The sequence below is a fragment of the Homo sapiens genome, chromosome 9 (assembly GCF_000001405.40).
Source record: "Homo sapiens chromosome 9, GRCh38.p14 Primary Assembly".
NCBI classification, from domain to species: domain Eukaryota; kingdom Metazoa; phylum Chordata; class Mammalia; order Primates; family Hominidae; genus Homo; species Homo sapiens.
In genome coordinates, this window is record NC_000009.12 from 8,447,904 (window position 1) to 8,460,100 (window position 12,197).

Sequence of the window (12,197 nt, forward strand, 5' to 3'; positions counted from 1 at the left end):
TTTTACAGGGTGATGAGGTAAGAAATGCAAGGAATCATGTAGCAGATCATTTCTTCAGCTTTTGGGTCCTCTATACATTGAGTTTGCTAAATTGAAAGGAATATAAATTCCTGGGTCCATTATTAAGAAGTTGCCTGTAGGCCAGGAGTGGTGGCTAATGCCTGTAATCCCAGCCCTTTGGGAGGCTGAGGCAGGTGAGTTGCTGGAGCCCAGGAGTTGGAGCCCAGCTTGTGCAACACGGCCAAACTCCACCTCCACAAAAATAAAAAAAAAAATTGTCTGGATGTGGTGGCGTGCCCCAGTAGTCCCAGCTACTTGGGAAGCTGAGGTAGGGGGATCACCTGATCCCGGGAGGTTGAGGCTGCAGTGAGCCGTCATTGTGCTACTGCACTCCAGCCTGGACAATCGAGTGAGACTCTGTCTCAAAAAACCCATCAATCAAACAAACAACCAAAAACAAAAAGAAGTTGCCTATAGGCTGAAGTAGTTAGTATCCACCTATTTCAAAAAGCGCTGACCCAATGAAATTTACTACAGTAACTTAATTCATATCAAGTTGCCTTAATAAAGTACTGAGTAGGTGACTCAACAAGATGCATCCAGAGGGCTACGACCTATCCTGGAAGATGACACAAGTTTGTTCAATCATCATGTACACGTTCCCGGTGCATGATGAAATAATTTTTTTTAAAGTCTAACCTCATATGAGTTAGAATTTTTTTTAAATACCGACATTATGATGCTTGTATAGCCACACTGAAAATGCTAAACATTTCTTTCAATTGAAGAGTTACTAGTTACTATGTTACATCTACATGTAAAAGAGAAAATATGCTGAACATAATAAACCATGTTCAAAATAATTCACTGTAAAATGTGTACTGTAATATATCTGCAGTGTATCATACTGTGAATCAGAACATCCATATGGCACAAAGAAACTTGTCTACAATTTGTGGGACAACACTGCAACCACATTTTAATCCCAAAGACTTCTTAGATTAGCTTTTCACTTTGTTCATTATCATAACATATTAAGATAGGGTCACTCGGTTTTATATTTTCAGCTCCCTCTGCCATTCATAATTTGCCATTCATTTGGTATAAACATGCTTTAGTTGAAAAAGTCAAATAGATCTAGGCATGAATAAACAATATTGTGCAGAAGGCCCCTCAGTAGGAATAGTAGTGTTCCTCTGTTGAAGCACTTAATGTTCTTTATTTTAAGAAACAAGTATATTTTTTGTTATCCTCAGTCACTTTATGTTTCTCTCTAGTAAGAAGCCTGAAGTGATCAGTGAAATTTAGTATAGGTAATATTTAAAAATATTTACCTCATTTTCCTCCCTCCCTCCCTCCCTTTCTTCCTTCCTCTTTCAGAGTACCATAAACACAAACAAAAAGGAAAATATAGAACAAATCTATGCTTTCCCATGGGATGAAAGATGTGTACAGTCATCCATTTACTCATTCATTCACTTGATGAGAAACTGAATTCTTTCCAGAGTGGTGTCATTGGAAATAATAAAAACAATAATCAAAGCCCATAAAAATGGTAGATATTATTATAAAGACTATAGTTCTTCCAAAATTTGAAGGATACCCATATTTCTTTTTCTTCCCTACCCAATTTCCGGTTTGCAGAAAGAACTTAATTTCCTTTCAGACTTTTGCTTGGGCAAGTCTCCATAATAGTAAAATAAAAGAGCAGGATGAACAAAATGGCTCAAAATAAAGTGATACCTTCAACTCTTAATATCAATTGAGCTGTACAACTTCTGGGAAAGACTGTGTGTGGATTAGATGTGTGATGCTTCTTACCCGGTGTTTGAAAGTTAAGGCGCCTCAGTTCTACAGGGTCTGTTGGGTGGTGTGAAGGGATCTCCTTATTGTTCGGTATGCTGCTTTTTCTAGAGTCGGACTCTGCCCTCTTCCTATAGGGGGAAAATAGAAATTTAAGAAGAAAAGAAAAATCAATTGAAACAGATAGAAAAGCAGAGAATTGCACCTGCACTCCCCCCACCTCCCAAGTTTTCAGTTTTACAACTTTTCAACCCAGCTGACTTGTGACCCAGTTCGGGTTGCTTTTCCCCCCTGGCCTAATTGTTCTCTCAGGTCTAAAATTTTTGTTTAAGTCAATGATCTCGAAGTCCTCCTCCAACTGCAGGATTAAATAATTCAGCAACTCTGCCTTTTGGTTTCAAAGGGATCTTGGTGAGATACGCATGGACCCTTATTGAGCAATTCTCTCTTATCTACTAGTTCTATTTGTGAGGAACAGGATAGGATACCCCTAAGTTGCCAATACTAAGACTGTTGTTACCATAGAGAAACTACCTGACCTTAAGCTGAACAGCTAAATCTGTCCCCCTTAGCCCTAAGTATATATAAGTGGTGACTACAGAGAGTAGATGCCGTAGATTTTCCCATAAGGCAGGTAAACACAAGTGCATTTTTAAGATGCCAAGTTATCCTAATGCCTAGGATAATCGGGACCAGGTAAAACAGAACTCCCCTTTCTCTTTCAAATGTGAAGGAAAAAAAACAGTGTTAGCTCTTAACAGTGTTAAGCTAACTGTGATTAATATTTTGTTAATGAAAGGTTCACAGAAAGATCAGAGAAAAAGTAATTTCACCTGGTGGGTAGATCAGCGCTCCTGATAATCATTCAAGGTGCCATTGACAGTGCCTTGTTATAAATGTGATTCTTCACACAATACATTTTAACTTTGTTCTAAAAGCTATCTACTAGCTTTATTAGATATCCCCATTTAAGCTCTCATTATGTAATTTTAACAAATTTCTAAGCAAGAAATGTCAGATCTGTATATAAGATTTCTTTATCCAATAAAAAATTAATCACAGAGTCCTAACTATCTTCTTCCAGTTTGAATTAGATTAAAAACCCATTGAATCAATAGAAGCCATTTTCAAACAGTGCTTTTTTTCCAAATACTAACGCCTGCAATCTCTACACCACAGTCACAATCCTAGTATCTCACCCCTGCTCAAAGCAAAGGCGTTTTTACTGTGGGGGGGAAAAGGTGCTGCACAGTGTTTAGGAACTTTCCTTTTCTCTGTTCGATGTGACTGTGGTACAGCTCATTAGTGTTGCTGTGGCAATGGGGTCTCATTCAATGCCACCCAGGTCGTTCTATGGTTAGCCAGAGGGCTCCTGTTAAATAGCCTTTCTTCCCATTTCTGCTCATCTGTATAAAATAAAACTAACCAGGGGGTGAAGAGAAGATTGATACAAAGGGGACGTGCACATGATTTGCTCAAGTGCAGTGCCTTTGGCAAAACATCCTTAATGGAATACATTTTCATGGCTAAGTCCTATTAGACATGTTGCTTTCTCGGTACCTTAGATTAACCTGTCTGAGGATTTCTTCTTTCTACCTAAAGGTGTCAGATACAGCCTTGGGACAAAATGTGCTGCCAACCCATTCCACCAATCAGAGGTGAGCAGTATTCTGCGACCTGCCAAGGTACTGGCAGCTCCAGTTCTATGGAGTAGAAAGGAAGAAGAAAAGAAAAAGAAAAGACAAAGGGCTGGTGAAAAAGATATGAGGACGAAGAAAAAGACAGGCTCATAAGACCATGCGAAAGGAGGACATGATGGCCAGTTTCAGAGTAGGCAATGTCACTGTGTCTGTGCTATGGGTCTTCGCCTCACCACACTAAGAGATTCCTTTTACCACTGAAGATGCAAAATCGAAATGGGTTAATGAAACGTCACTGGGTGCAGCCAGCCAGTCAATTCCACGTGAAACATATGGTTGGTCTTCTCACTTCAAATAATACCAATGGCCCTTCTCATGTTTTGATCATTTTGCATAAGTTGGCAAGGATGCATTTCTTTACTAATGTGTCAGGCCCAACGACTAAAATTTGGATTTTTCTCCCTTCCCATTGTGGCTCTGCCATTCTTGCAAGATTATGGAAACCAGAATTAGAAATATCTATCTGGGCAAGAAAACTACTTTACTCTTACAGGTATTGTAGGGTAACCTCCTTATCTTCTTTTTCCCTGTGGCTGGGGTGAGTGACACTGAGCTGGAGGGTAGAAAAGAAAACTCTCTAAAGTAATTTAGCCCATTTCTCTGGTGCAAGGAAAGTTAGGAATTACATCTTGTTGCAAAGATGTGAGTCTCAGAAAACTCAAGACATGGGACTAAAATTACAATTCACAATTTGAATGAACAGGGAGGGATGTAGTGACATTTAATAACTAACTTCTCTTTCACTGTTTATTCAAATGAAATTATTTCCAAGACCTCAGACTCCTGAAATCCTAGTCAAATAGAAAACCAGCTGCTTAAATGTATTTTGCTTAGTTTTCTTTCGATGATCACAACATGGATAATTCTGGCTGTCCACATTCTTATCACATTATTTTTAAACACTTATTATGTGATGTGCTAGAATGATTGTTTTCTAACACAGAAACCATTTCTAGGAAAGATGTGGAAGATGAAGAGTTTGGTCATCATTGGTAATAATACTAAAGAGTTTTAAAACGTTGTCATAAAATATTAAAAGACATATAATGGTCTAAATTAGGCCCAACATGAATGTAACTAGTAACCTTTTTTCCTGATAAATTTCAGAGGTCTCATCATTCTCATTTTCGATTTGAAAAATGGAAAGAATAATGAATAGAAACAGATTTTAAATTTTGCCTTGCTCTATTTTTTTTCTATTAAGATTATAAAATGTTAGTGCGAGTTTATTTCTTGCAGTGAGAACTATCTACTATGTGGAGGAGTTATGTAGGTGAAAAGGAAATGGAAGATCACTTGACATTTTGGATCTGTCAGAAACTGCTAATACTATAAAAGCATGTGGTTGTTTGGGATGTGGGTAATACACAATACAAATGCTACTCTGGTCTACGGGGTATTTTGCTTTCACCAGGCTCTCATCTGGGGGGAAGAAAAAAACAAAGAGAAGTTGAGTGAAAGATCAATTCATGGTCTTGAAACAAAGATATACAGACATGTGAGAAGAGGCTTTTGAAAGAAACATATACTTATTAGAAATATCTACCATCAATATTCAAGTAAATCAATCAAAATATTTGTTTCTGTTAACATTAAGAATGTAATCCCAACTCTGCCACTACTGGTATGTGTCAACTACAAATTTTCTTTTCAGTTTATTTGTGTATAAAATAGAGGGAGATTAGAAGAGGATGTCTAAGTTTTGGTTCAACTCTCTCATTTTAATAGAAAAAGAAAGCATTAAGTTGTAAAATATGAAAAGTGTTATGATGAAAGGTACGGAGTCCCACTCTGTCGCCCAGGCTGGAGTGCAGTGGTGCGATCTCGGCTCACTGCAAGCTCTGCCTCCCGGGTTCATGCCATTCTCCTGCCTCAGCCTCCCGAGTAGCTGGGATTACAGGCGCCCGCCACCATGCCTGGCTAATTTTTTGTATTTTTTAGTAGAGATGTGGTTTCGCCGTGTTAGTCAGGATGGTCTCGATCTCCTGACCTTGTGATCCACCCGCCTCAGCCTCCCAGAGTGCTGGGATTACAGGCGTGAGCCACCATGCCTGGCCGATGAAAGGTAGTATTTTAAGTGAGTTTAAAGTGTTTTGTCTTTTGGCTGAAAAAACAAAAACAAACTATTTTGCACGTGTTTTTCTGCTGGACAAATGGATACTAGAGATGTCCACACAAAGAAGACACCCTCATAGAGGTTTAAAGATTCTTATCATTGAACATGAGGCTTGCTGACCAACATAAAGTGATTTTAGTGTAAATAATGCAGCAATAGTTCTCAAACTTTAGTATGCATCAGCATCACCTGGGAAGGCTTGTTAAAATACAGCCTGGTGGGCCAATGCCTAGACTTTCTGATTTAGTAGGTCTGAGGCGGGGTCCAAGGGTGTGTATTTCCGTCAAGTTCCCTGGTGGTGCTGACGCTATGGCTGCTGGTCCAGAGGCCACTCAATGGAAACCACTGGAATATGGCATTGGGAGAAAGGTAGGTGATCTTCAAGATGTTTTTTGTAGTTTAATTTTAATCGGGAATTTATATATATGTTACATGTGTATATTTATACATAAGTGTATATGAATATATAGATATGAGTTAGAAAGCTAGAGGGTTAGTTTGGATTAATCATTCAATAATCACATAGTGTATTTTAGCTATTATTATTGCTCTTATTATTCAAGACTGGGAGACATGGATAATAATTTTGAATTGGGGAAGAGTTCTCACTAAGGCACTGTCATCAATATTTGCAGGATGTGAAAATGCTAATATCATTAGGTGATCTGTACTCAAACTTGAAAACTAATCTTTGGTAAAAACAAACAAAACAAAACAAAACAGTTTATGAGACACCTCACATGTCTGCTCTGTAAACACATCAACACACACAAATGCCCATTTTAATCTTGACCACAAACAAAACTCAGATATTGGTTTGTGTACTATCTTTTAAACTTCGCCTTTAATCTGTTTTTTTCTAATGTAAACAAAATATTTATTTTCCCCAGAATCATCTTAATGAAGTTACTGTGTATATGTAGGCTTTGCCCATCTTCCACGTGCCAGGTATTATCTTTTGTGTGCAGCCCCGCCCTCCCCTCTTCAACAACTCTGAAGTCTACCAGTTTATTTTTTTCTTACTGAACATTAAAGGGGTTTGTTCTCTATTCCTCACCTGTCGGGTTTACTGCTCCATTTTAATGCAGCAAAAAAAGGAAAAAGAAAGGCTAAATGTTAGTTGGCCAATGGTAACAAGGATAACCATGACAACCAAGATTTAAGAAATAGTGTTCACAAGCAAGGACACATAACTGACATACATTCAGAAGCGACAGCGAATCAAAATATTTATAGACCTCTGATTATGAACTAAACAGAGGACATGAAGTTACATCACTGAATACATAGTGTGTGTGTGTGTGTGTGTGTGTGTGTGTGTGTGTGAATGCCACGTGCACTTTTATCCATCACCTATAAAATACTGCCACAATTAATTATATCCCAGGAAGTGTTCGACAGTGGAGAGATAATTTGATTTTTAAAAAACATGCTATGAGAAAACTAATGTACTCAATGGGAATACAGCATCATTCCATAAAAGAAATTCGTTCATTTAAAATAAAAAGCCTTCAATTAAGAGGTATGTCATTCCTTTCATGATATAAAATATCTGCAAATTGTATTGAACTATACAGAAATTTGCACAATTGAATAATACACCAAAAGGTAATAAGGTGGCAGAAATGATTTCTTCAAACACCTCTTGCCACATCTTTTTTCCCATGAAGGATTAAGTGCATCTTCAGTTTAGGAAAATATAATACCCATCATTATAAATCTACAGAGCATGGCCCATTTATACAGTTGGGCTAATCCAGAAAAACATTTTATTACCAGCCATTGACAGAACATGTATTTTCCTAGTCTGTGGTGCTGTCTGTGAACACAACTAGTTCATGCTTATAGATCCTTTCACCTGTGATAATATGTTGATTGTGTAAATAACCATATTATTTCTGCAGAGTATAACCTTTTCCTGAAAACAATTAATCTAAAAATCTTCACTTTGAGGCAAATTGCAAAGTTTTCAGTGAGTTCCCAGTTGCAAAATAAAGGTACTAAGTTTTTCTTAATGCCAATGAAATATATACCCAAGTGGCTGGAATATCTGGCCCTGTGAGATAATTCAATCCATCTCTTTTCAAAAATAAAAAAATCCACATTTAAATGGTACAAACACACACATACAAAGTAAATGATGAAAATGATATCAAACACATTGGTTAATTCTTCTTATTCTTAATTTTATAGTGATTTACGTAGTGTGCCAGGTTAAAAAGAATTCTATATAAATGTTTCCAATTTGCTCACTTTTTAAAATCAGTGACTTTATCAGGGAATCAGTTGTAGAAAAATCTATGCCTCAGGATGGAAAACCATCTAGTGAATTATCAGTTCTATGTATTAAAAGGCTGTTTTGAGTATTCATATGCACAAATTCATAGTTCCAGATAAAGGTCAGCCTCACCATACACCTGGGTACATATGTGGTACAAATATCTAAGTTTGAAAGCTTTCACAACTGGTAAATTTAAATTATAGGCCGAGGATTTTATTGCAACTCTTGCCAGCCAAAATAAAGTTGATATTGAGTGATGGAGTCAACATGTAGAAGGAATTGAGTTTGTTTAATACTGTTTGACTTGTATACATTTAATTATTCAATATTTTTGTGTGCCAGGCACTCTACTAGGCAGTAGCAACACAATAATGAATAAGACAGAGTCCTTGACCTGCAGTTTAGTGGAGGCAAAGTGCCAAGAAAAGGGGCATTGACAGTAACGCAGTAGGTTCTACAACAGACAAGTAGAAAGTACTTTAAGAGCTCAGGAAAAGTGATCCTAAAGCAGCCCGAACTGCTAGAGAGGGGAGGAGAAGAGAGGACAGAAAATGAGGCAGGCACCCAGAAAGGCTTGATTTAGTAGGTAGCATCCTAGCTTACTTCCAAAGGATGAGTTGGAGTTATCCAAGCCAAAAGGAGTGGCAGGGGAGTGACAGGAAAGGCATTCCTAACCTAGGGAGGGCCTACTCAGAAGCCAGAAAGCAGAGTCAACCAGCAGCTTCCAGTATGGTTGGGTGTGGCCACATATTTCTTCATAGCATCTCAAAATATTCTGGACTGCATTTCCTTGATGAGGGCTTGGAACTGTATGGAGGGTTGATACAGAAAGAGAAGACTAAAGACACAAAGCTTGCAGAGAGCCAGTGTTGGAGCAGGAAAAGGCTGGAAAAACTGAAGCCTACATTTCAGTCTCATCTAGCTCATGGTTTCCACATCCTGGGATGGGGATGGAAAAATAGTGTGCATGCAGGCTAGATTATTACCATTCAAGGATGTTAATTTTGCCTGAAGTGCATCTCAGACTTCTAGGACCACCTGATCTACACTTTCTTTGATTCCATAGTATGTAATAAACACTTTTTATCCATCTTGAAATGCTTTTCCATAGAGGTAAGGTTAACAGTTTATTTTTAAATGTTTATTTTTTATATAAATAATTCTTGGACAGTTCTGGAATAAAGTCTGAAAAGCCTTACATATGTAACAGATATACAGAATAAGAACTTTCAATTGCCTTGTGAATTTTTTGTTGGAGTAGATGGACGTGCAGTACCAATACTATTATCTGGTGTTTAATGTTTTCAGATTATAGCGCATTATGATTAAAAAGGTCTAATTATCTGGTCCACCCACTAACTTTGTAATGAAGAAATGTAGGCTCAGAGTGTTGGCATGAATTTCTACCCCATGCAACCAGCTAGTCACAGAACTGGGACTTGGATTCGGGTTTCTTGGCTCCTCAGTCCAGTACTTGGCCGAACGTTGCTACTATCTTATCTCTGGAATGTGTATTTTAAGTCATGGGCCATATAATATTTTTTCAAAATTATAGTACAAGAAAATTTATAACATTAAAGATATACCAAATATATTTTAATTTTCTGATGATTCAGAGGGTATTTTAGGGATCTTACCAAGCCCTGGTGATTTTTTTTTGTTACTGATTATCAATGTATTATAGGTATACAGATTACTAGATTAAAAACAAAAGTTAAATGAACAGAATGCCAGATCAAAGAGTATGCCATTTCCACATGAATAGATCTAATAGGAATAAGTCTCAAAGTCTCCTCAGACAGCTGGGTAAAATATACTTCTTTATATGATAAAACTATCTGTAGCTACAGACCTATTGCTAATGCTAGCATCTTAGAAGCAGAGATATATGATAAAGTGGATTATCAATATAATGTGAGTCAACAACGTTTTATTCTCATTCTCTTCTCAAAGCAGTATTTGCATATGGGAAGTAAAATATTCTGACAATAATAATAATAATAATACTTTCAATTCTGAGTCATTACCAATGACCTGTATATAAACTGAAAGGCACCTAAAAAGAGGGAATGGACTATTTATTATGTAATTAACTTTGCTCAGAATCCAAGCTATAAAAGACACTATTCATTGGGTACAGAAGATTTCCTTTTGAACTGCCTCATGATAATCAAGAAGGACATTGTTGGTTCTACTTGAATTTCAAGTCAGGAATGTTCTTTACTGCTGAAGCAAGCATTTCTATTTCAGAAATGCTTCATGGGCCTTCAGATGGTTAGCTAAATATACTTAGCATTCGAGGATGTGTGCATTTCCCAACAATTGCATTAGACGATGCTTACATAGGCCCACACTAAAATGCTACTCTATTTTAACAGAGTCATAAAACCTTTAAATATGATACTTCTTTTTGTGGGATTAGGAAAAATTATAAGTGAGTTGATTTTTTAAGCACTTGCAGATGAAGGAAGAAAATAGTTATCTTTTAAAAATTATTAGGGCTATAATCATATTTCTTCAAATTTACATGACTGATTCACAAATACCATATACATCTGTTGCTTGGTATGATTTAATGATAGCTATGTATATCCAAATAAAACATAACTTAAAAATAAGGCATTAATTTTTCCCATTTCAAATAATCACAAAATGTCATGTCATATGGTCTAGAAATACACCTGTCAACAATCCCTTGTTTTTTGACCTACTCCCATAGTAGTATGTGACTACCTAAATCAATATTTCCCAGAAAACAATTAGAATTATACCACTGCTTTTTATTATTGAATTCTCTTCTGGAAAAAAGTGCAGCGTACAGACAGCAAAGGACACCAGCTCCTGCTTGGACTCAAACAGGGTCTATGATTACTCACGGGGCAGGTGTGTACCTCATGCTTCCTGCCCTTATCTCTTACATGGAGAGAGGTAATAAAATACAATGGGTTCCTTAAGATACATGCTTATAGATACAGATTGGAATGGAAGATTCAAATCATCAAATGAGAGGAGATTTTGGCTTTCCACACTTACTTTTTCAGCTATTTTACAGCACGGATAATTGAATGATGGCAGTGTTCATGAAAAAAAATAATGATGGATATATCTTTCATTCTTTATAACTCTAAAATAGGATAGGCAATTTAATGGGTTATGGTTATGAACTTCTTTCATTTGTCCTTTATTTTCTCAACCCTCTCTTAATGCTGGAATAAAATGAAATGGAGCCTTTTAAAAACAAGTTTTTCAAAAGAGAAGAGTTTTGAAGGAGTTTCTTTTTTTAAGAGTCAAGATAAGAGGTTATGGGGGAAAAACGTTATTCCAGGGACAGAAGAGCAAGGGAGTGAGGGTGAAAATAATTAATATAAACCCCCCAAAAGGGAGCTAGATGGGTAGGAAAAAGAGTGAATGGAAATGAGATTATTAGATTAAGCATGTAAGCAAGAATCAAAATGAAGATACTCTTTTTAGATTCTGAAGGCCAAGGTTAGGGACAGGGAGAGAAGCTATCTTGTAGTAGAAGGATGAGATCAACTTCACAGTAGCATTTCAAAATATAACACACCACAAGGAAAACGAGAACATGGATTAAAGTTTTGTGAAAATACAATTTGGATTGGAAAAAAATAAAAATCTATATAAAGGGAAGTAATTTTGAATTTAGTCATTTTAAATGTTTAAGAAAGTATATTATATGCTACTCTTTATAAGTTCATATTTATATTATAATTATATTCTTAAGACAGAAAGAATTTATAAGAACAATTACTAATGTCCTCTATCTAACTGACTGGCCAGTGCCCTAGGGGAAAAAATCTTATTAGAGATTAGATGTTAGAGGCAGAAATAAAATTGAAAAAGAGTGGCATATCAGAAAAATGTGGGTAGACACAGATTATTTGCATCCTAACTGTAGTCAAAGACACTACTCAAATCAACACATGGGCATAATAAGACTGAGATTATATTTTTTAAAAAAGGAAAATAGTACCTTGGCATCCCTTTTTGGACACATACACGAATTCACCAGTGCAGATGTGGAATAAGAGTTAGAAGAAAATTGGGAGACGATTCATTCTCCATCCTTCTCTTTTTTTTCCCCTTCCTTAATCCTTAATTTTTATCTGCTTTTGCTAAATTTTGAGAAATAGCTACAGGGAGCTATCTCAACACTTGCGCAAATTAGAATTATGATATGTATACAAATTGCAAAATCGTGATAGTGTTTCAAAAAACACACTGAAATCGAGCAATTAATTATCTAAAACAATCAAATGAAAGCTTGCATGGAATTATT

The 12,197-nt window shown here is 36.5% G+C and overlaps 1 protein-coding gene across 55 annotated transcripts in view; it reads right to left on the bottom strand.

The window, feature by feature from the left end:
- The window catches only part of PTPRD (protein tyrosine phosphatase receptor type D), a 2,298,757-nt gene that overhangs the window by 133,658 nt on the left and 2,152,902 nt on the right, over nt 1–12,197 (bottom strand). For 26 of the 55 annotated variants that reach the window (NM_002839.4, XM_047423651.1, XM_047423657.1 and 23 more), the window contains one exon: nt 1,822–1,934. In NM_002839.4, the coding sequence (NP_002830.1) occupies nt 1,822–1,934 (113 nt within the window). Of the gene's footprint in view, nt 1–1,821; nt 1,935–6,676; nt 6,692–12,197 lie in introns of all 55 variants that reach the window. The other 29 variants (XM_017014961.3, XM_017014971.3, XM_024447625.2 and 26 more) reach the window with 2 other exon arrangements.